Source organism: Homo sapiens, chromosome 1 (genome assembly GCF_000001405.40).
Source record: "Homo sapiens chromosome 1, GRCh38.p14 Primary Assembly".
NCBI lineage: Eukaryota > Metazoa > Chordata > Mammalia > Primates > Hominidae > Homo > Homo sapiens.
Genome location: NC_000001.11, coordinates 145,315,035 through 145,339,000, shown reverse-complemented (window position 1 = coordinate 145,339,000; position 23,966 = coordinate 145,315,035). Strand labels below are relative to the sequence as shown.

General features: G+C 44.2%; 1 protein-coding gene across 3 annotated transcripts in view; it reads left to right on the top strand.

The window, feature by feature from the left end:
* NBPF20 (NBPF member 20) overlaps positions 1-23,966 on the top strand; it is a 135,704-nt gene that overhangs the window by 86,603 nt on the left and 25,135 nt on the right. For 2 of the 3 annotated variants that reach the window (NM_001278267.1, NM_001397211.1), the window contains 30 exons: positions 496-547; positions 1,192-1,364; positions 2,079-2,187; positions 2,816-2,988; positions 3,708-3,759; positions 4,370-4,542; positions 5,252-5,303; positions 5,948-6,120; positions 6,835-6,943; positions 7,572-7,744; positions 8,464-8,515; positions 9,123-9,295; positions 10,005-10,056; positions 10,715-10,887; positions 11,602-11,710; positions 12,339-12,511; positions 13,231-13,282; positions 13,883-14,055; positions 14,765-14,816; positions 15,463-15,635; positions 16,350-16,458; positions 17,089-17,261; positions 17,981-18,032; positions 18,633-18,805; positions 19,515-19,566; positions 20,225-20,397; positions 21,112-21,220; positions 21,851-22,023; positions 22,743-22,794; positions 23,403-23,575. The exons of the other annotated variant lie outside the window; for it this stretch is intronic. In NM_001278267.1, coding sequence (NP_001265196.1) covers positions 496-547; positions 1,192-1,364; positions 2,079-2,187; positions 2,816-2,988; positions 3,708-3,759; positions 4,370-4,542; positions 5,252-5,303; positions 5,948-6,120; positions 6,835-6,943; positions 7,572-7,744; positions 8,464-8,515; positions 9,123-9,295; positions 10,005-10,056; positions 10,715-10,887; positions 11,602-11,710; positions 12,339-12,511; positions 13,231-13,282; positions 13,883-14,055; positions 14,765-14,816; positions 15,463-15,635; positions 16,350-16,458; positions 17,089-17,261; positions 17,981-18,032; positions 18,633-18,805; positions 19,515-19,566; positions 20,225-20,397; positions 21,112-21,220; positions 21,851-22,023; positions 22,743-22,794; positions 23,403-23,575 — 3,660 coding nt within the window. The remainder of the gene's footprint in view (positions 1-495; positions 548-1,191; positions 1,365-2,078; positions 2,188-2,815; positions 2,989-3,707; positions 3,760-4,369; positions 4,543-5,251; positions 5,304-5,947; positions 6,121-6,834; positions 6,944-7,571; positions 7,745-8,463; positions 8,516-9,122; positions 9,296-10,004; positions 10,057-10,714; positions 10,888-11,601; positions 11,711-12,338; positions 12,512-13,230; positions 13,283-13,882; positions 14,056-14,764; positions 14,817-15,462; positions 15,636-16,349; positions 16,459-17,088; positions 17,262-17,980; positions 18,033-18,632; positions 18,806-19,514; positions 19,567-20,224; positions 20,398-21,111; positions 21,221-21,850; positions 22,024-22,742; positions 22,795-23,402; positions 23,576-23,966) is intronic. 3 annotated transcript variants of the gene reach the window in all.

Genomic DNA, 23,966 nt, shown 5'->3' with positions numbered 1-23,966 from the left:
TGCCTGTGGCAAGCTGAGCCCGCTCTCAGCACATTGGACCCAGGCAGATGTAAAAAATTCACAGAACTATGATTTGGACTCAAGGGTTTGTAGATTTCCTCCTTCATTCTAATTTCAGTGTCTAAAATTCTTGCATCCATGAACGAGCTGGGCATTTGATGAGACAGGGCTGAATACTGCAGTTTTCCTCCTAGAAATCATCTGGGGCATTTTCTTTGAACTGATGGGAACAATAAGGCATAACTGTTTGCACAAACTTGGGATAAATGATTTTGGGATAACGATCTACCAGAATGGGGATATTTCACCCTTGGTTCTGAGATGCAAACCAAAGAATATCATGACCAGCTTTCAGGCCTCCTGAAGTATCTCTCTCACATTGTCCTGTTCTCATGCTGAGGAGCCTGAGATCCCTGTGTGGGGATTAGACAGTGGACTGTTATGGGTGTAGGTGAATTGGCTTATTTTGTCTGTCCCTGTCTGAATGTATTGCAGGAACTAAAAAGGACCAAGAAGAGGAAGAAGACCAAGGCCCACCATGCCCCAGGTAACTGAGCAATTGTGAACAGCTACTTCTGTGTTGACATCTGGAGACTCCTGGTTCAGGGAAAACAGAGCGGGCTGACATTATCGATTACATCTTTTCCAGCAAGCCTGAATTATTCCTACTAACATTGCTGTTGGTTTTCATTGCAGTAGATATTTAGGTTTCCATTTCTTCCTCCCCTTATCATTTACTAACCTACTGTAGGTGGACCAGACTTCAAAAACTGTATTCTCATGGCGACTGCATGGAAACTTGAGCACATTTTATGGAAAATTATTGAGCACAGTCTTTTCATGATCCCTGTATGCTGTGTGTCCTGAGGGCACTAACTCAGAGTGTCCTGTTACTCCCTCATCAGTGTGTCACCTGGACAATTCACTGAGCTCGTTCTCTCTCTCTCTGTGTGTGTGTGTGTGTGTGTGTGTGTGTGTGTGTGTGTGTGTGTGTCTATCTGTCTTTCTCTTTCATTCTTTTCCATTTGGCCCTGTTCTGTCCCAACATGAAGGCAATAATTTGTTACCTCATTAATGGATCTATCCTTTTAGTTTTTTAACCACTTCCCTATGCTACCCATGAAACCTAGTTGGGGCTCTGTTGTGTCTGATTTCCCCTGGCTTATTCTTTACTTTTTCCTCCTTTTCCAGGCTCAGCAGGGAGCTGCTGGAGGTAGTAGAGCCTGAAGTCTTGCAGGACTCACTGGATAGATGTTATTCAACTCCTTCCAGTTGTCTTGAACAGCCTGACTCCTGCCAGCCCTATGGAAGTTCCTTTTATGCATTGGAGGAAAAACATGTTGGCTTTTCTCTTGACGTGGGAGGTGAGTACCTTTCTATGAAGGTGATAAGGATCCACTGAGTCTTCCATATAAAGATCATATTCCTGCTCCAAGTGGCCATTACTGAGCTGAGAGATGTCATTGCCACAGGGAGGACCTATAGGCACATGTAGGTTGAATGAAACTCTAGTTCTACCTGGAAGCCCAGGCAAGGGATGGGTCAGTGAGCAAGACTCTCTTCCTAGTCTCAGGCCATACCTGTGGCGCCCTGATCCTATCCTCATGACATTGGACCTGGGCAGATGTGACAAATTCAGAGAACTATGATTTTGACTCAAGGGTTTGTAGATTTCCTTTTTCACTCTAATTTCAGTGTCTAAAGTCCTCACAACCATGAACAATCTGAGTATTTGATGAGACAGGGCTAAATATTGCAGTTTTTCTCCTAGAAATCATTTGAGGGTATTTGCTTTAAGTTGATTGGAAAAATATGGCATAACTGTTTGCACAAACTTGGGACAAATGATATTGGGATAACGATCTACTAGAATAGGGACATTTTACCCACAGTTTCTGGGAGAAAAACCGAGGAATTTCTATCATGACCAGCCTTCAGGCCTCCTGAAATATATCTCTCACGGTGTCCTATTCTTATGCTGAGGAGCCTGAGGTCCCTGTGTGAGGATTAGACAGTGGATTGTTATGTGTGTAGGGGAATCAGCTTAATGTGTCTGTCCATGTCTGAATTTATTGCAGAAATTGAAAAGAAGGGGAAGGGGAAGAAAAGAAGGGGAAGAAGATCAAAGAAGGAAAGAAGAAGGGGAAGAAAAGAAGGGGAAGAAGATCAAAACCCACCATGCCCCAGGTGACTTTCAGCAATTGTGGATGCTTAATTCTGTGTTAACACCTGGAGGCAACAGATTCAGGGAAACCAGAGTGTGTTTGATGTCATGTTTTCAACGAAGGCTGAATTACTCCTACTGTCATTGCTGTTGGTTTTCATTGCAGTAGATGTTTAGGTTTCCATTTCTTCCTCCCCTTATCATTTCCTAACGTACCATAGGTTGACCATACTTCAAAAGCTGTACTCTCATGGCCACTGCATCGAATTTTGAGCATATTTTATGGAAAACTATTGAGCTCACTCTTTTCATGATCACAGTTTGCTGTGTGTCATGAGGGCACTAACTCAGAGTGTCCTTTTACTCCCTTACCAGTATGTCACCTGGCCAATTCACTAGGTCACTTTCTCTCTGTCTCTGTCTCTGTCTCTCTCTCTGTCTCTGTCTCTCTCTCTCTCTCTGTCTTTCTCTTTCATTGTTTTCTACCTGGCCCTGTTCTATCCCAACATAAAGGCAATAATTTGTTACCTCATTAATGGATCTGTCCTTTTTCTTTTCAAACTCTTCCTTACGTTAGCCATGAAATCTAGCTGGGGCTGTGTGGTTTCTGATTCCCCCTGGCTTATTCTTTACTTTTTCCCACTTTTCCAGGCTCAGCAGGGAGCTGCTGGATGAGAAAGGGCCTGAAGTCTTGCAGGACTCACTGGATAGAAGTTATTCAACTCCTTCAGGTTGTCTTGAACTGACTGACTCATGCCAGCCCTACAGAAGTGCCTTTTACGTATTGGAGCAACAGCGTGTTGGCTTGGCTGTTGACATGGATGGTGAGTACCTTTCTATGAAGGTGATAAGGATCCACTGAGTCTTCTGGTTAGGGTCATATTCCTACTGCAAGTGGCCCTTACTGAGCTGAGAGATGTCATTGCCACAGGGAGGTCCTATAGGCACATGTAGGTTGAATGAAACTCTAGTTCCACTTGGAAGCCCAGACAAGGGATGGGTCAGTGAGCAAGGCTCTCTTCCTAGTCTCAGGCCATGCCTGTGGCGCCCTAATCCTACTCTCATGACGTTGGACCTGGGCAGATGTGACAAATTCACACAACTCTGATTTTGTCTCAATTTTGTAGATCTTGTAGATTTCATCCTTCACTCTAATTTCAGCGTCTAAAATCCTCGCTACCGTGAACAATCTGAGTATTTGATGAGACAGGGCTGAATAGTGCAGTTTTTCTCCTAGCAACCATTTGGGGGCATTTGCTTTAAATCGATTGGAAAAATATGGCATAACCATTTGCACAAACTTGGGACAAATGATATTGGGATAACGATCTACCAGAATAGGGAATTTTACCCACAGTTTCTGGGACAAAAACCAAGGAATCTCTATGGTGATCAGCCTTCAGGCCTCCTGAAGACTATCTCTCACAGTGTCCTATTCTCATGCTGAGGAGCCTGAAGTCCCCGTGTGAGGATTAGACAGTGGATTGTTATGTGTGTAGGAGAACCAGCTTAATATGTCTGTCCATGTCTGAACTTATTGCAGAAATTGAAAAGTACCAAGAAGTGGAAGAAGACCAAGACCCATCATGCCCCAGGTAACTTTGAGCAATTATGGATGCTTAATTCTGTGTTGACACCTGGAGATGCCAGGTCCAGGGAAAACAAGAGTGTGTTCAATTTCATGTTTTCAACGAAGGTTGAATTACTCCTCCTGATATTGCTGTTGGTTTTCATTGCAGTAGATGTTTAGGTTTCCATTTCTTCCTCCCCTTATCATTTACTAACTTACTATAGGTTGACCATACCTCAAAGTCTGTATGGCAACTGCATGGAATCTTGAGCAAGTTTATGGAAAATTATTGAGCCCACTCTTTTCATGATCACTGTTCGCTGTGTGTCCCGAGGGCACTAACTCAGAGTGTCCTTTGACCCCTTCATCAGTGTGTCACCCGGCCAACTCGCTGAGCTTACTTTCTCCTCTCTCTCTCTCTCTCTCTCTCTCCCTCCCTCTCCCTGTCTTTCTCTTTCATTCTTTTCTACCTGGCCCTGGTCTATCCCAACATAAAGGCAATAATTCATTACCTCATTAATGGATCTGTCCTTTTTCTTTTTAAACAGTTCCTTATGTTAGCCATGAAATCTAGCTGGGGCTGTGTGGTTTCTGATTCCCCCTGGCTTATTCTTTACTTTTTCCTACTTTTCCAGGCTCAGCAGGGAGCTGCTGGATGAGAAAGAGCCTGAAGTCTTGCAGGACTCACTGGATAGATGTTATTCGACTCCTTCAGGTTATCTTGAACTGCCTGACTTAGGCCAGCCCTACAGCAGTGCTGTTTACTCATTGGAGGAACAGTACCTTGGCTTGGCTCTTGACGTGGACAGTGAGTACCTTACTGTGAAGGTGATAAGCCTCCACCTGGTCTTCCAGATAGGGGTGATATTCCTGTTCCAAGTGGCCCTTACTGACCCGAGAGATGTCATTGCCGCAGGCAGGACCTATGGGCGCATATAGGTTGTAATGAAACTGTAGTCTCAGTTGGAAGCCTAGACATGAAATGGGTCAGTGAGCAAGGCTCTATTCCTAGTCTCCAGCCATGCCTGTGGCAAGCTGAGCCCGCTCTCAGCACATTGGACCCAGGCAGATGTAAAAAATTCACAGAAGTATGATTTGGACTGAAGGGTTTGTAGATTTCCTCCTTCATTCTAATTTCAGTGTCTAAAATTCTTGCATCCATGAACGAGCTGGGCATTTGATGAGACAGGGCTGAATACTGCAGTTTTCCTCCTAGAAATCATCTGGGGCATTTTCTTTGAACTGATGGGAACAATAAGGCATAACTGTTTGCACAAACTTGGGATAAATGATTTTGGGATAACGATCTACCAGAATGGGGATATTTCACCCTTGGTTCTGAGATGCAAACCAAAGAATATCATGACCAGCTTTCAGGCCTCCTGAAGTATCTCTCTCACATTGTCCTGTTCTCATGCTGAGGAGCCTGAGATCCCTGTGTGGGGATTAGACAGTGGACTGTTATGGGTGTAGGTGAATTGGCTTATTTTGTCTGTCCCTGTCTGAATGTATTGCAGGAACTAAAAAGGACCAAGAAGAGGAAGAAGACCAAGGCCCACCATGCCCCAGGTAACTGAGCAATTGTGAACAGCTACTTCTGTGTTGACATCTGGAGACTCCTGGTTCAGGGAAAACAGAGCGGGCTGACATTATCGATTACATCTTTTCCAGCAAGCCTGAATTATTCCTACTAACATTGCTGTTGGTTTTCATTGCAGTAGATATTTAGGTTTCCATTTCTTCCTCCCCTTATCATTTACTAACCTACTGTAGGTGGACCAGACTTCAAAAACTGTATTCTCATGGCGACTGCATGGAAACTTGAGCACATTTTATGGAAAATTATTGAGCACAGTCTTTTCATGATCCCTGTATGCTGTGTGTCCTGAGGGCACTAACTCAGAGTGTCCTGTTACTCCCTCATCAGTGTGTCACCTGGACAATTCACTGAGCTCGTTCTCTCTGTGTGTGTGTGTGTGTCTGTGTGTGTGTGTGTGTGTGTGTGTGTGTGTGTGTCTATCTGTCTTTCTCTTTCATTCTTTTCCATTTGGCCCTGTTCTGTCCCAACATGAAGGCAATAATTTGTTACCTCATTAATGGATCTATCCTTTTAGTTTTTTAACCACTTCCCTATGCTACCCATGAAACCTAGTTGGGGCTCTGTTGTGTCTGATTTCCCCTGGCTTATTCTTTACTTTTTCCTCCTTTTCCAGGCTCAGCAGGGAGCTGCTGGAGGTAGTAGAGCCTGAAGTCTTGCAGGACTCACTGGATAGATGTTATTCAACTCCTTCCAGTTGTCTTGAACAGCCTGACTCCTGCCAGCCCTATGGAAGTTCCTTTTATGCATTGGAGGAAAAACATGTTGGCTTTTCTCTCGACGTGGGAGGTGAGTACCTTTCTATGAAGGTGATAAGGATCCACTGAGTCTTCCATATAAAGATCATATTCCTGCTCCAAGTGGCCATTACTGAGCTGAGAGATGTCATTGCCACAGGGAGGACCTATAGGCACATGTAGGTTGAATGAAACTCTAGTTCTACCTGGAAGCCCAGGCAAGGGATGGGTCAGTGAGCAAGACTCTCTTCCTAGTCTCAGGCCATACCTGTGGCGCCCTGATCCTATCCTCATGACATTGGACCTGGGCAGATGTGACAAATTCAGAGAACTATGATTTTGACTCAAGGGTTTGTAGATTTCCTTTTTCACTCTAATTTCAGTGTCTAAAGTCCTCACAACCATGAACAATCTGAGTATTTGATGAGACAGGGCTAAATATTGCAGTTTTTCTCCTAGAAATCATTTGAGGGTATTTGCTTTAAGTTGATTGGAAAAATATGGCATAACTGTTTGCACAAACTTGGGACAAATGATATTGGGATAACGATCTACTAGAATAGGGACATTTTACCCACAGTTTCTGGGAGAAAAACCGAGGAATTTCTATCATGACCAGCCTTCAGGCCTCCTGAAATATATCTCTCACGGTGTCCTATTCTTATGCTGAGGAGCCTGAGGTCCCTGTGTGAGGATTAGACAGTGGATTGTTATGTGTGTAGGGGAATCAGCTTAATGTGTCTGTCCATGTCTGAATTTATTGCAGAAATTGAAAAGAAGGGGAAGGGGAAGAAAAGAAGGGGAAGAAGATCAAAGAAGGAAAGAAGAAGGGGAAGAAAAGAAGGGGAAGAAGATCAAAACCCACCATGCCCCAGGTGACTTTCAGCAATTGTGGATGCTTAATTCTGTGTTAACACCTGGAGGCAACAGATTCAGGGAAACCAGAGTGTGTTTGATGTCATGTTTTCAACGAAGGCTGAATTACTCCTACTGTCATTGCTGTTGGTTTTCATTGCAGTAGATGTTTAGGTTTCCATTTCTTCCTCCCCTTATCATTTCCTAACGTACCATAGGTTGACCATACTTCAAAAGCTGTACTCTCATGGCCACTGCATCGAATTTTGAGCATATTTTATGGAAAACTATTGAGCTCACTCTTTTCATGATCACAGTTTGCTGTGTGTCATGAGGGCACTAACTCAGAGTGTCCTTTTACTCCCTTACCAGTATGTCACCTGGCCAATTCACTAGGTCACTTTCTCTCTGTCTCTGTCTCTGTCTCTCTCTCTGTCTCTGTCTCTCTCTCTCTCTCTGTCTTTCTCTTTCATTGTTTTCTACCTGGCCCTGTTCTATCCCAACATAAAGGCAATAATTTGTTACCTCATTAATGGATCTGTCCTTTTTCTTTTCAAACTCTTCCTTACGTTAGCCATGAAATCTAGCTGGGGCTGTGTGGTTTCTGATTCCCCCTGGCTTATTCTTTACTTTTTCCCACTTTTCCAGGCTCAGCAGGGAGCTGCTGGATGAGAAAGGGCCTGAAGTCTTGCAGGACTCACTGGATAGAAGTTATTCAACTCCTTCAGGTTGTCTTGAACTGACTGACTCATGCCAGCCCTACAGAAGTGCCTTTTACGTATTGGAGCAACAGCGTGTTGGCTTGGCTGTTGACATGGATGGTGAGTACCTTTCTATGAAGGTGATAAGGATCCACTGAGTCTTCTGGTTAGGGTCATATTCCTACTGCAAGTGGCCCTTACTGAGCTGAGAGATGTCATTGCCACAGGGAGGTCCTATAGGCACATGTAGGTTGAATGAAACTCTAGTTCCACTTGGAAGCCCAGACAAGGGATGGGTCAGTGAGCAAGGCTCTCTTCCTAGTCTCAGGCCATGCCTGTGGCGCCCTAATCCTACTCTCATGACGTTGGACCTGGGCAGATGTGACAAATTCACACAACTCTGATTTTGTCTCAATTTTGTAGATCTTGTAGATTTCATCCTTCACTCTAATTTCAGCGTCTAAAATCCTCGCTACCGTGAACAATCTGAGTATTTGATGAGACAGGGCTGAATAGTGCAGTTTTTCTCCTAGCAACCATTTGGGGGCATTTGCTTTAAATCGATTGGAAAAATATGGCATAACCATTTGCACAAACTTGGGACAAATGATATTGGGATAACGATCTACCAGAATAGGGAATTTTACCCACAGTTTCTGGGACAAAAACCAAGGAATCTCTATGGTGATCAGCCTTCAGGCCTCCTGAAGACTATCTCTCACAGTGTCCTATTCTCATGCTGAGGAGCCTGAAGTCCCTGTGTGAGGATTAGACAGTGGATTGTTATGTGTGTAGGAGAACCAGCTTAATATGTCTGTCCATGTCTGAACTTATTGCAGAAATTGAAAAGTACCAAGAAGTGGAAGAAGACCAAGACCCATCATGCCCCAGGTAACTTTGAGCAATTATGGATGCTTAATTCTGTGTTGACACCTGGAGATGCCAGGTCCAGGGAAAACAAGAGTGTGTTCAATTTCATGTTTTCAACGAAGGTTGAATTACTCCTCCTGATATTGCTGTTGGTTTTCATTGCAGTAGATGTTTAGGTTTCCATTTCTTCCTCCCCTTATCATTTACTAACTTACTATAGGTTGACCATACCTCAAAGGCTGTATGGCAACTGCATGGAATCTTGAGCAAGTTTATGGAAAATTATTGAGCCCACTCTTTTCATGATCACTGTTCGCTGTGTGTCCCGAGGGCACTAACTCAGAGTGTCCTTTGACCCCTTCATCAGTGTGTCACCCGGCCAACTCGCTGAGCTTACTTTCTCCTCTCTCTCTCTCTCTCTCTCTCCCTCCCTCTCCCTGTCTTTCTCTTTCATTCTTTTCTACCTGGCCCTGGTCTATCCCAACATAAAGGCAATAATTCATTACCTCATTAATGGATCTGTCCTTTTTCTTTTTAAACAGTTCCTTATGTTAGCCATGAAATCTAGCTGGGGCTGTGTGGTTTCTGATTCCCCCTGGCTTATTCTTTACTTTTTCCTACTTTCCAGGCTCAGCAGGGAGCTGCTGGATGAGAAAGAGCCTGAAGTCTTGCAGGACTCACTGGATAGATGTTATTCGACTCCTTCAGGTTATCTTGAACTGCCTGACTTAGGCCAGCCCTACAGCAGTGCTGTTTACTCATTGGAGGAACAGTACCTTGGCTTGGCTCTTGACGTGGACAGTGAGTACCTTACTGTGAAGGTGATAAGCCTCCACCTGGTCTTCCAGATAGGGGTGATATTCCTGTTCCAAGTGGCCCTTACTGACCCGAGAGATGTCATTGCCGCAGGCAGGACCTATGGGCGCATATAGGTTGTAATGAAACTGTAGTCTCAGTTGGAAGCCTAGACATGAAATGGGTCAGTGAGCAAGGCTCTATTCCTAGTCTCCAGCCATGCCTGTGGCAAGCTGAGCCCGCTCTCAGCACATTGGACCCAGGCAGATGTAAAAAATTCACAGAACTATGATTTGGACTCAAGGGTTTGTAGATTTCCTCCTTCATTCTAATTTCAGTGTCTAAAATTCTTGCATCCATGAACGAGCTGGGCATTTGATGAGACAGGGCTGAATACTGCAGTTTTCCTCCTAGAAATCATCTGGGGCATTTTCTTTGAACTGATGGGAACAATAAGGCATAACTGTTTGCACAAACTTGGGATAAATGATTTTGGGATAACGATCTACCAGAATGGGGATATTTCACCCTTGGTTCTGAGATGCAAACCAAAGAATATCATGACCAGCTTTCAGGCCTCCTGAAGTATCTCTCTCACATTGTCCTGTTCTCATGCTGAGGAGCCTGAGATCCCTGTGTGGGGATTAGACAGTGGACTGTTATGGGTGTAGGTGAATTGGCTTATTTTGTCTGTCCCTGTCTGAATGTATTGCAGGAACTAAAAAGGACCAAGAAGAGGAAGAAGACCAAGGCCCACCATGCCCCAGGTAACTGAGCAATTGTGAACAGCTACTTCTGTGTTGACATCTGGAGACTCCTGGTTCAGGGAAAACAGAGCGGGCTGACATTATCGATTACATCTTTTCCAGCAAGCCTGAATTATTCCTACTAACATTGCTGTTGGTTTTCATTGCAGTAGATATTTAGGTTTCCATTTCTTCCTCCCCTTATCATTTACTAACCTACTGTAGGTGGACCAGACTTCAAAAACTGTATTCTCATGGCGACTGCATGGAAACTTGAGCACATTTTATGGAAAATTATTGAGCACAGTCTTTTCATGATCCCTGTATGCTGTGTGTCCTGAGGGCACTAACTCAGAGTGTCCTGTTACTCCCTCATCAGTGTGTCACCTGGACAATTCACTGAGCTCGTTCTCTCTCTGTGTGTGTGTGTGTCTGTGTGTGTGTCTGTGTGTGTGTGTGTGTGTGTGTGTGTGTGTGTGTGTCTATCTGTCTTTCTCTTTCATTCTTTTCCATTTGGCCCTGTTCTGTCCCAACATGAAGGCAATAATTTGTTACCTCATTAATGGATCTATCCTTTTAGTTTTTTAACCACTTCCCTATGCTACCCATGAAACCTAGTTGGGGCTCTGTTGTGTCTGATTTCCCCTGGCTTATTCTTTACTTTTTCCTCCTTTTCCAGGCTCAGCAGGGAGCTGCTGGAGGTAGTAGAGCCTGAAGTCTTGCAGGACTCACTGGATAGATGTTATTCAACTCCTTCCAGTTGTCTTGAACAGCCTGACTCCTGCCAGCCCTATGGAAGTTCCTTTTATGCATTGGAGGAAAAACATGTTGGCTTTTCTCTTGACGTGGGAGGTGAGTACCTTTCTATGAAGGTGATAAGGATCCACTGAGTCTTCCATATAAAGATCATATTCCTGCTCCAAGTGGCCATTACTGAGCTGAGAGATGTCATTGCCACAGGGAGGACCTATAGGCACATGTAGGTTGAATGAAACTCTAGTTCTACCTGGAAGCCCAGGCAAGGGATGGGTCAGTGAGCAAGACTCTCTTCCTAGTCTCAGGCCATACCTGTGGCGCCCTGATCCTATCCTCATGACATTGGACCTGGGCAGATGTGACAAATTCAGAGAACTATGATTTTGACTCAAGGGTTTGTAGATTTCCTTTTTCACTCTAATTTCAGTGTCTAAAGTCCTCACAACCATGAACAATCTGAGTATTTGATGAGACAGGGCTAAATATTGCAGTTTTTCTCCTAGAAATCATTTGAGGGTATTTGCTTTAAGTTGATTGGAAAAATATGGCATAACTGTTTGCACAAACTTGGGACAAATGATATTGGGATAACGATCTACTAGAATAGGGACATTTTACCCACAGTTTCTGGGAGAAAAACCGAGGAATTTCTATCATGACCAGCCTTCAGGCCTCCTGAAATATATCTCTCACGGTGTCCTATTCTTATGCTGAGGAGCCTGAGGTCCCTGTGTGAGGATTAGACAGTGGATTGTTATGTGTGTAGGGGAATCAGCTTAATGTGTCTGTCCATGTCTGAATTTATTGCAGAAATTGAAAAGAAGGGGAAGGGGAAGAAAAGAAGGGGAAGAAGATCAAAGAAGGAAAGAAGAAGGGGAAGAAAAGAAGGGGAAGAAGATCAAAACCCACCATGCCCCAGGTGACTTTCAGCAATTGTGGATGCTTAATTCTGTGTTAACACCTGGAGGCAACAGATTCAGGGAAACCAGAGTGTGTTTGATGTCATGTTTTCAACGAAGGCTGAATTACTCCTACTGTCATTGCTGTTGGTTTTCATTGCAGTAGATGTTTAGGTTTCCATTTCTTCCTCCCCTTATCATTTCCTAACGTACCATAGGTTGACCATACTTCAAAAGCTGTACTCTCATGGCCACTGCATCGAATTTTGAGCATATTTTATGGAAAACTATTGAGCTCACTCTTTTCATGATCACAGTTTGCTGTGTGTCATGAGGGCACTAACTCAGAGTGTCCTTTTACTCCCTTACCAGTATGTCACCTGGCCAATTCACTAGGTCACTTTCTCTCTGTCTCTGTCTCTGTCTCTCTCTCTGTCTCTGTCTCTCTCTCTCTCTCTGTCTTTCTCTTTCATTGTTTTCTACCTGGCCCTGTTCTATCCCAACATAAAGGCAATAATTTGTTACCTCATTAATGGATCTGTCCTTTTTCTTTTCAAACTCTTCCTTACGTTAGCCATGAAATCTAGCTGGGGCTGTGTGGTTTCTGATTCCCCCTGGCTTATTCTTTACTTTTTCCCACTTTTCCAGGCTCAGCAGGGAGCTGCTGGATGAGAAAGGGCCTGAAGTCTTGCAGGACTCACTGGATAGAAGTTATTCAACTCCTTCAGGTTGTCTTGAACTGACTGACTCATGCCAGCCCTACAGAAGTGCCTTTTACGTATTGGAGCAACAGCGTGTTGGCTTGGCTGTTGACATGGATGGTGAGTACCTTTCTATGAAGGTGATAAGGATCCACTGAGTCTTCTGGTTAGGGTCATATTCCTACTGCAAGTGGCCCTTACTGAGCTGAGAGATGTCATTGCCACAGGGAGGTCCTATAGGCACATGTAGGTTGAATGAAACTCTAGTTCCACTTGGAAGCCCAGACAAGGGATGGGTCAGTGAGCAAGGCTCTCTTCCTAGTCTCAGGCCATGCCTGTGGCGCCCTAATCCTACTCTCATGACGTTGGACCTGGGCAGATGTGACAAATTCACACAACTCTGATTTTGTCTCAATTTTGTAGATCTTGTAGATTTCATCCTTCACTCTAATTTCAGCGTCTAAAATCCTCGCTACCGTGAACAATCTGAGTATTTGATGAGACAGGGCTGAATAGTGCAGTTTTTCTCCTAGCAACCATTTGGGGGCATTTGCTTTAAATCGATTGGAAAAATATGGCATAACCATTTGCACAAACTTGGGACAAATGATATTGGGATAACGATCTACCAGAATAGGGAATTTTACCCACAGTTTCTGGGACAAAAACCAAGGAATCTCTATCGTGATCAGCCTTCAGGCCTCCTGAAGACTACCTCTCACAGTGTCCTATTCTCATGCTGAGGAGCCTGAAGTCCCTGTGTGAGGATTAGACAGTGGATTGTTATGTGTGTAGGAGAACCAGCTTAATATGTCTGTCCATGTCTGAACTTATTGCAGAAATTGAAAAGTACCAAGAAGTGGAAGAAGACCAAGACCCATCATGCCCCAGGTAACTTTGAGCAATTATGGATGCTTAATTCTGTGTTGACACCTGGAGATGCCAGGTCCAGGGAAAACAAGAGTGTGTTCAATTTCATGTTTTCAACGAAGGTTGAATTACTCCTCCTGACATTGCTGTTGGTTTTCATTGCAGTAGATGTTTAGGTTTCCATTTCTTCCTCCCCTTATCATTTACTAACTTACTATAGGTTGACCATACCTCAAAGGCTGTATGGCAACTGCATGGAATCTTGAGCAAGTTTATGGAAAATTATTGAGCCCACTCTTTTCATGATCACTGTTCGCTGTGTGTCCCGAGGGCACTAACTCAGAGTGTCCTTTGACCCCTTCATCAGTGTGTCACCCGGCCAACTCGCTGAGCTCACTTTCTCCTCTCTCTCTCTCTCTCTCCCTCTCCCTGTCTTTCTCTTTCATTCTTTTCTACCTGGCCCTGGTCTATCCCAACATAAAGGCAATAATTCATTACCTCATTAATGGATCTGTCCTTTTTCTTTTTAAACAGTTCCTTATGTTAGCCATGAAATCTAGCTGGGGCTGTGTGGTTTCTGATTCCCCCTGGCTTATTCTTTACTTTTTCCTACTTTTCCAGGCTCAGCAGGGAGCTGCTGGATGAGAAAGAGCCTGAAGTCTTGCAGGACTCACTGGATAGATGTTATTCGACTCCTTCAGGTTATCTTGAACTGCCTGACTTAGGCCAGCCCTACAGCAGTGCTGTTTACTCATTGGAGGAACAGTACCTTGGCTTGGCTCTTGACGTGGACAGTGAGTACCTTACTGTGAAGGTGATAAGCCTCCACCTGGTCTTCCAGATAGGGGTGATATTCCTGTTCCAAGTGGCCCTTACTGACCCGAGAGATGTCATTGCCGCAGGCAGGACCTATGGGCGCATATAGGTTGTAATGAAACTGTAGTCTCAGTTGGAAGCCTAGACATGAAATGGGTCAGTGAGCAAGGCTCTATTCCTAGTCTCCAGCCATGCCTGTGGCAAGCTGAGCCCGCTCTCAGCACATTGGACCCAGGCAGATGTAAAAAATTCACAGAAGTATGATTTGGACTGAAGGGTTTGTAGATTTCCTCCTTCATTCTAATTTCAGTGTCTAAAATTCTTGCATCCATGAACGAGCTGGGCATTTGATGAGACAGGGCTGAATACTGCAGTTTTCCTCCTAGAAATCATCTGGGGCATTTTCTTTGAACTGATGGGAACAATAAGGCATAACTGTTTGCACAAACTTGGGATAAATGATTTTGGGATAACGATCTACCAGAATGGGGATATTTCACCCTTGGTTCTGAGATGCAAACCAAAGAATATCATGACCAGCTTTCAGGCCTCCTGAAGTATCTCTCTCACATTGTCCTGTTCTCATGCTGAGGAGCCTGAGATCCCTGTGTGGGGATTAGACAGTGGACTGTTATGGGTGTAGGTGAATTGGCTTATTTTGTCTGTCCCTGTCTGAATGTATTGCAGGAACTAAAAAGGACCAAGAAGAGGAAGAAGACCAAGGCCCACCATGCCCCAGGTAACTGAGCAATTGTGAACAGCTACTTCTGTGTTGACATCTGGAGACTCCTGGTTCAGGGAAAACAGAGCGGGCTGACATTATCGATTACATCTTTTCCAGCAAGCCTGAATTATTCCTACTAACATTGCTGTTGGTTTTCATTGCAGTAGATATTTAGGTTTCCATTTCTTCCTCCCCTTATCATTTACTAACCTACTGTAGGTGGACCAGACTTCAAAAACTGTATTCTCATGGCGACTGCATGGAAACTTGAGCACATTTTATGGAAAATTATTGAGCACAGTCTTTTCATGATCCCTGTATGCTGTGTGTCCTGAGGGCACTAACTCAGAGTGTCCTGTTACTCCCTCATCAGTGTGTCACCTGGACAATTCACTGAGCTCGTTCTCTCTCTGTGTGTGTGTGTGTCTGTGTGTGTGTCTGTGTGTGTGTGTGTGTGTGTGTGTCTATCTGTCTTTCTCTTTCATTCTTTTCCATTTGGCCCTGTTCTGTCCCAACATGAAGGCAATAATTTGTTACCTCATTAATGGATCTATCCTTTTAGTTTTTTAACCACTTCCCTATGCTACCCATGAAACCTAGTTGGGGCTCTGTTGTGTCTGATTTCCCCTGGCTTATTCTTTACTTTTTCCTCCTTTTCCAGGCTCAGCAGGGAGCTGCTGGAGGTAGTAGAGCCTGAAGTCTTGCAGGACTCACTGGATAGATGTTATTCAACTCCTTCCAGTTGTCTTGAACAGCCTGACTCCTGCCAGCCCTATGGAAGTTCCTTTTATGCATTGGAGGAAAAACATGTTGGCTTTTCTCTTGACGTGGGAGGTGAGTACCTTTCTATGAAGGTGATAAGGATCCACTGAGTCTTCCATATAAAGATCATATTCCTGCTCCAAGTGGCCATTACTGAGCTGAGAGATGTCATTGCCACAGGGAGGACCTATAGGCACATGTAGGTTGAATGAAACTCTAGTTCTACCTGGAAGCCCAGGCAAGGGATGGGTCAGTGAGCAAGACTCTCTTCCTAGTCTCAGGCCATACCTGTGGCGCCCTGATCCTATCCTCATGACATTGGACCTGGGCAGATGTGACAAATTCAGAGAACTATGATTTTGACTCAAGGGTTTGTAGATTTCCTTTTTCACTCTAATTTCAGTGTCTAAAGTCCTCACAACCATGAACAATCTGAGTATTTGATGAGACAGGGCTAAATATTGCAGTTTTTCTCCTAGAAATCATTTGAGGGTATTTGCTTTAAGTTGATTGGAAAAATATGGCATAACTGTTTGCACAAACTTGGGACAAATGATATTGGGATAACGATCTACTAGAATAGGGACATTTTACCCACAGTTTCTGGGAGAAAAACCGAGGAATTTCTATCATGACCAGCCTTCAGGCCTCCTGAAATATATCTCTCACGGTGTCCTATTCTTATGCTGAGGAGCCTGAGGTCCCTGTGTGAGGATTAGACAGTGGATTGTTATGTGTGTAGGGGAATCAGCTTAATGTGTCTGTCCATGTCTGAATTTATTGCAGAAATTGAAAAGAAGGGGAAGGGGAAGAAAAGAAGGGGAAGAAGATCAAAGAAGGAAAGAAGAAGGGGAAGAAAAGAAGGGGAAGAAGATCAAAACCCACCATGCCCCAGGTGACTTTCAGCAATTGTGGATGCTTAATTCTGTGTTAACACCTGGAGGCAACAGATTCAGGGAAACCAGAGTGTGTTTGATGTCATGTTTTCAACGAAGGCTGAATTACTCCTACTGTCATTGCTGTTGGTTTTCATTGCAGTAGATGTTTAGGTTTCCATTTCTTCCTCCCCTTATCATTTCCTAACGTACCATAGGTTGACCATACTTCAAAAGCTGTACTCTCATGGCCACTGCATCGAATTTTGAGCATATTTTATGGAAAACTATTGAGCTCACTCTTTTCATGATCACAGTTTGCTGTGTGTCATGAGGGCACTAACTCAGAGTGTCCTTTTACTCCCTTACCAGTATGTCACCTGGCCAATTCACTAGGTCACTTTCTCTCTGTCTCTGTCTCTGTCTCTCTCTCTCTGTCTCTGTCTCTCTCTCTCTCTCTGTCTTTCTCTTTCATTGTTTTCTACCTGGCCCTGTTCTATCCCAACATAAAGGCAATAATTTGTTACCTCATTAATGGATCTGTCCTTTTTCTTTTCAAACTCTTCCTTACGTTAGCCATGAAATCTAGCTGGGGCTGTGTGGTTTCTGATTCCCCCTGGCTTATTCTTTACTTTTTCCCACTTTTCCAGGCTCAGCAGGGAGCTGCTGGATGAGAAAGGGCCTGAAGTCTTGCAGGACTCACTGGATAGATGTTATTCAACTCCTTCAGGTTGTCTTGAACTGACTGACTCATGCCAGCCCTACAGAAGTGCCTTTTACGTATTGGAGCAACAGCGTGTTGGCTTGGCTGTTGACATGGATGGTGAGTACCTTTCTATGAAGGTGATAAGGATCCACTGAGTCTTCTGGTTAGGGTCATATTCCTACTGCAAGTGGCCCTTACTGAGCTGAGAGATGTCATTGCCACAGGGAGGTCCTATAGGCACATGTAGGTTGAATGAAACTCTAGTTCCACTTGGAAGCCCAGACAAGGGATGGGTCAGTGAGCAAGGCTCTCTTCCTAGTCTCAGGCCATGCCTGTGGCGCCCTAATCCTACTCTCATGACGTTGGACCTGGGCAGATGTGACAAATTCACACAACTCTGATTTTGTCTCAATTTTGTAGATCTTGTAGATTTCATCCTTCACTCTAATTTCAGCGTCTAAAATCCTCGCTACCGTGAACAATCTGAGTATTTGATGAGACAGGGCTGAATAGTGCAGTTTTTCTCCTAGCAACCATTTGGGGGCATTTGCTTTAAATCGATTGGAAAAATATGGCATAACCATTTGCACAAACTTGGGACAAATGATATTGGGATAACGATCTACCAGAATAGGGAATTTTACCCACAGTTTCTGGGACAAAAACCAAGGAATCTCTATCGTGATCAGCCTTCAGGCCTCCTGAAGACTACCTCTCACAGTGTCCTATTCTCATGCTGAGGAGCCTGAAGTCCCTGTGTGAGGATTAGACAGTGGATTGTTATGTGTGTAGGAGAACCAGCTTAATATGTCTGTCCATGTCTGAACTTATTGCAGAAATTGAAAAGTACCAAGAAGTGGAAGAAGACCAAGACCCATCATGCCCCAGGTAACTTTGAGCAATTATGGATGCTTAATTCTGTGTTGACACCTGGAGATGCCAGGTCCAGGGAAAACAAGAGTGTGTTCAATTTCATGTTTTCAACGAAGGTTGAATTACTCCTCCTGACATTGCTGTTGGTTTTCATTGCAGTAGATGTTTAGGTTTCCATTTCTTCCTCCCCTTATCATTTACTAACTTACTATAGGTTGACCATACCTCAAAGGCTGTATGGCAACTGCATGGAATCTTGAGCAAGTTTATGGAAAATTATTGAGCCCACTCTTTTCATGATCACTGTTCGCTGTGTGTCCCGAGGGCACTAACTCAGAGTGTCCTTTGACCCCTTCATCAGTGTGTCACCCGGCCAACTCGCTGAGCTCACTTTCTCCTCTCTCTCTCTCTCTCTCCCTCTCCCTGTCTTTCTCTTTCATTCTTTTCTACCTGGCCCTGGTCTATCCCAACATAAAGGCAATAATTCATTACCTCATTAATGGATCTGTCCTTTTTCTTTTTAAACAGTTCCTTATGTTAGCCATGAAATCTAGCTGGGGCTGTGTGGTTTCTGATTCCCCCTGGCTTATTCTTTACTTTTTCCTACTTTTCCAGGCTCAGCAGGGAGCTGCTGGATGAGAAAGAGCCTGAAGTCTTGCAGGACTCACTGGATAGATGTTATTCGACTCCTTCAGGTTATCTTGAACTGCCTGACTTAGGCCAGCCCTACAGCAGTGCTGTTTACTCATTGGAGGAACAGTACCTTGGCTTGGCTCTTGACGTGGACAGTGAGTACCTTACTGTGAAGGTGATAAGCCTCCACCTGGTCTTCCAGATAGGGGTGATATTCCTGTTCCAAGTGGCCCTTACTGACCCGAGAGATGTCATTGCCGCAGGCAGGACCTATGGGCGCATATAGGTTGTAATGAAACTGTAGTCTCAGTTGGAAGCCTAGACATGAAATGGGTCAGTGAGCAAGGCTCTATTCCTAGTCTCCAGCCATGCCTGTGGCAAGCTGAGCCCGCTCTCAGCACATTGGACCCAGGCAGATGTAAAAAATTCACAGAAGTATGATTTGGACTGAAGGGTTTGTAGATTTCCTCCTTCATTCTAATTTCAGTGTCTAAAATTCTTGCATCCATGAACGAGCTGGGCATTTGATGAGACAGGGCTGAATACTGCAGTTTTCCTCCTAGAAATCATCTGGGGCATTTTCTTTGAACTGATGGGAACAATAAGGCATAACTGTTTGCACAAACTTGGGATAAATGATTTTGGGATAACGATCTACCAGAATGGGGATATTTCACCCTTGGTTCTGAGATGCAAACCAAAGAATATCATGACCAGCTTTCAGGCCTCCTGAAGTATCTCTCTCACATTGTCCTGTTCTCATGCTGAGGAGCCTGAGATCCCTGTGTGGGGATTAGACAGTGGACTGTTATGGGTGTAGGTGAATTGGCTTATTTTGTCTGTCCCTGTCTGAATGTATTGCAGGAACTAAAAAGGACCAAGAAGAGGAAGAAGACCAAGGCCCACCATGCCCCAGGTAACTGAGCAATTGTGAACAGCTACTTCTGTGTTGACATCTGGAGACTCCTGGTTCAGGGAAAACAGAGCGGGCTGACATTATCGATTACATCTTTTCCAGCAAGCCTGAATTATTCCTACTAACATTGCTGTTGGTTTTCATTGCAGTAGATATTTAGGTTTCCATTTCTTCCTCCCCTTATCATTTACTAACCTACTGTAGGTGGACCAGACTTCAAAAACTGTATTCTCATGGCGACTGCATGGAAACTTGAGCACATTTTATGGAAAATTATTGAGCACAGTCTTTTCATGATCCCTGTATGCTGTGTGTCCTGAGGGCACTAACTCAGAGTGTCCTGTTACTCCCTCATCAGTGTGTCACCTGGACAATTCACTGAGCTCGTTCTCTCTCTGTGTGTGTGTGTGTCTGTGTGTGTGTCTGTGTGTGTGTGTGTGTGTGTGTGTGTGTGTGTGTGTCTATCTGTCTTTCTCTTTCATTCTTTTCCATTTGGCCCTGTTCTGTCCCAACATGAAGGCAATAATTTGTTACCTCATTAATGGATCTATCCTTTTAGTTTTTTAACCACTTCCCTATGCTACCCATGAAACCTAGTTGGGGCTCTGTTGTGTCTGATTTCCCCTGGCTTATTCTTTACTTTTTCCTCCTTTTCCAGGCTCAGCAGGGAGCTGCTGGAGGTAGTAGAGCCTGAAGTCTTGCAGGACTCACTGGATAGATGTTATTCAACTCCTTCCAGTTGTCTTGAACAGCCTGACTCCTGCCAGCCCTATGGAAGTTCCTTTTATGCATTGGAGGAAAAACATGTTGGCTTTTCTCTTGACGTGGGAGGTGAGTACCTTTCTATGAAGGTGATAAGGATCCACTGAGTCTTCCATATAAAGATCATATTCCTGCTCCAAGTGGCCATTACTGAGCTGAGAGATGTCATTGCCACAGGGAGGACCTATAGGCACATGTAGGTTGAATGAAACTCTAGTTCTACCTGGAAGCCCAGGCAAGGGATGGGTCAGTGAGCAAGACTCTCTTCCTAGTCTCAGGCCATACCTGTGGCGCCCTGATCCTATCCTCATGACATTGGACCTGGGCAGATGTGACAAATTCAGAGAACTATGATTTTGACTCAAGGGTTTGTAGATTTCCTTTTTCACTCTAATTTCAGTGTCTAAAGTCCTCACAACCATGAACAATCTGAGTATTTGATGAGACAGGGCTAAATATTGCAGTTTTTCTCCTAGAAATCATTTGAGGGTATTTGCTTTAAGTTGATTGGAAAAATATGGCATAACTGTTTGCACAAACTTGGGACAAATGATATTGGGATAACGATCTACTAGAATAGGGACATTTTACCCACAGTTTCTGGGAGAAAAACCGAGGAATTTCTATCATGACCAGCCTTCAGGCCTCCTGAAATATATCTCTCACGGTGTCCTATTCTTATGCTGAGGAGCCTGAGGTCCCTGTGTGAGGATTAGACAGTGGATTGTTATGTGTGTAGGGGAATCAGCTTAATGTGTCTGTCCATGTCTGAATTTATTGCAGAAATTGAAAAGAAGGGGAAGGGGAAGAAAAGAAGGGGAAGAAGATCAAAGAAGGAAAGAAGAAGGGGAAGAAAAGAAGGGGAAGAAGATCAAAACCCACCATGCCCCAGGTGACTTTCAGCAATTGTGGATGCTTAATTCTGTGTTAACACCTGGAGGCAACAGATTCAGGGAAACCAGAGTGTGTTTGATGTCATGTTTTCAACGAAGGCTGAATTACTCCTACTGTCATTGCTGTTGGTTTTCATTGCAGTAGATGTTTAGGTTTCCATTTCTTCCTCCCCTTATCATTTCCTAACGTACCATAGGTTGACCATACTTCAAAAGCTGTACTCTCATGGCCACTGCATCGAATTTTGAGCATATTTTATGGAAAACTATTGAGCTCACTCTTTTCATGATCACAGTTTGCTGTGTGTCATGAGGGCACTAACTCAGAGTGTCCTTTTACTCCCTTACCAGTATGTCACCTGGCCAATTCACTAGGTCACTTTCTCTCTGTCTCTGTCTCTGTCTCTCTCTCTCTGTCTCTGTCTCTCTCTCTCTCTCTGTCTTTCTCTTTCATTGTTTTCTACCTGGCCCTGTTCTATCCCAACATAAAGGCAATAATTTGTTACCTCATTAATGGATCTGTCCTTTTTCTTTTCAAACTCTTCCTTACGTTAGCCATGAAATCTAGCTGGGGCTGTGTGGTTTCTGATTCCCCCTGGCTTATTCTTTACTTTTTCCCACTTTTCCAGGCTCAGCAGGGAGCTGCTGGATGAGAAAGGGCCTGAAGTCTTGCAGGACTCACTGGATAGATGTTATTCAACTCCTTCAGGTTGTCTTGAACTGACTGACTCATGCCAGCCCTACAGAAGTGCCTTTTACGTATTGGAGCAACAGCGTGTTGGCTTGGCTGTTGACATGGATGGTGAGTACCTTTCTATGAAGGTGATAAGGATCCACTGAGTCTTCTGGTTAGGGTCATATTCCTACTGCAAGTGGCCCTTACTGAGCTGAGAGATGTCATTGCCACAGGGAGGTCCTATAGGCACATGTAGGTTGAATGAAACTCTAGTTCCACTTGGAAGCCCAGACAAGGGATGGGTCAGTGAGCAAGGCTCTCTTCCTAGTCTCAGGCCATGCCTGTGGCGCCCTAATCCTACTCTCATGACGTTGGACCTGGGCAGATGTGACAAATTCACACAACTCTGATTTTGTCTCAATTTTGTAGATCTTGTAGATTTCATCCTTCACTCTAATTTCAGCGTCTAAAATCCTCGCTACCGTGAACAATCTGAGTATTTGATGAGACAGGGCTGAATAGTGCAGTTTTTCTCCTAGCAACCATTTGGGGGCATTTGCTTTAAATCGATTGGAAAAATATGGCATAACCATTTGCACAAACTTGGGACAAATGATATTGGGATAACGATCTACCAGAATAGGGAATTTTACCCACAGTTTCTGGGACAAAAACCAAGGAATCTCTATCGTGATCAGCCTTCAGGCCTCCTGAAGACTACCTCTCACAGTGTCCTATTCTCATGCTGAGGAGCCTGAAGTCCCCGTGTGAGGATTAGACAGTGGATTGTTATGTGTGTAGGAGAACCAGCTTAATATGTCTGTCCATGTCTGAACTTATTGCAGAAATTGAAAAGTACCAAGAAGTGGAAGAAGACCAAGACCCATCATGCCCCAGGTAACTTTGAGCAATTATGGATGCTTAATTCTGTGTTGACACCTGGAGATGCCAGGTCCAGGGAAAACAAGAGTGTGTTCAATTTCATGTTTTCAACGAAGGTTGAATTACTCCTCCTGATATTGCTGTTGGTTTTCATTGCAGTAGATGTTTAGGTTTCCATTTCTTCCTCCCCTTATCATTTACTAACTTACTATAGGTTGACCATACCTCAAAGGCTGTATGGCAACTGCATGGAATCTTGAGCAAGTTTATGGAAAATTATTGAGCCCACTCTTTTCATGATCACTGTTCGCTGTGTGTCCCGAGGGCACTAACTCAGAGTGTCCTTTGACCCCTTCATCAGTGTGTCACCCGGCCAACTCGCTGAGCTTACTTTCTCCTCTCTCTCTCTCTCTCTCTCTCCCTTCCTCTCCCTGTCTTTCTCTTTCATTCTTTTCTACCTGGCCCTGGTCTATCCCAACATAAAGGCAATAATTCATTACCTCATTAATGGATCTGTCCTTTTTCTTTTTAAACAGTTCCTTATGTTAGCCATGAAATCTAGCTGGGGCTGTGTGGTTTCTGATTCCCCCTGGCTTATTCTTTACTTTTTCCTACTTTTCCAGGCTCAGCAGGGAGCTGCTGGATGAGAAAGAGCCTGAAGTCTTGCAGGACTCACTGGATAGATGTTATTCGACTCCTTCAGGTTATCTTGAACTGCCTGACTTAGGCCAGCCCTACAGCAGTGCTGTTTACTCATTGGAGGAACAGTACCTTGGCTTGGCTCTTGACGTGGACAGTGAGTACCTTACTGTGAAGGTGATAAGCCTCCACCTGGTCTTCCAGATAGGGGTGATATTCCTGTTCCAAGTGGCCCTTACTGACCCGAGAGATGTCATTGCCGCAGGCAGGACCTATGGGCGCATATAGGTTGTAATGAAACTGTAGTCTCAGTTGGAAGCCTAGACATGAAATGGGTCAGTGAGCAAGGCTCTATTCCTAGTCTCCAGCCATGCCTGTGGCAAGCTGAGCCCGCTCTCAGCACATTGGACCCAGGCAGATGTAAAAAATTCACAGAAGTATGATTTGGACTGAAGGGTTTGTAGATTTCCTCCTTCATTCTAATTTCAGTGTCTAAAATTCTTGCATCCATGAACGAGCTGGGCATTTGATGAGACAGGGCTGAATAC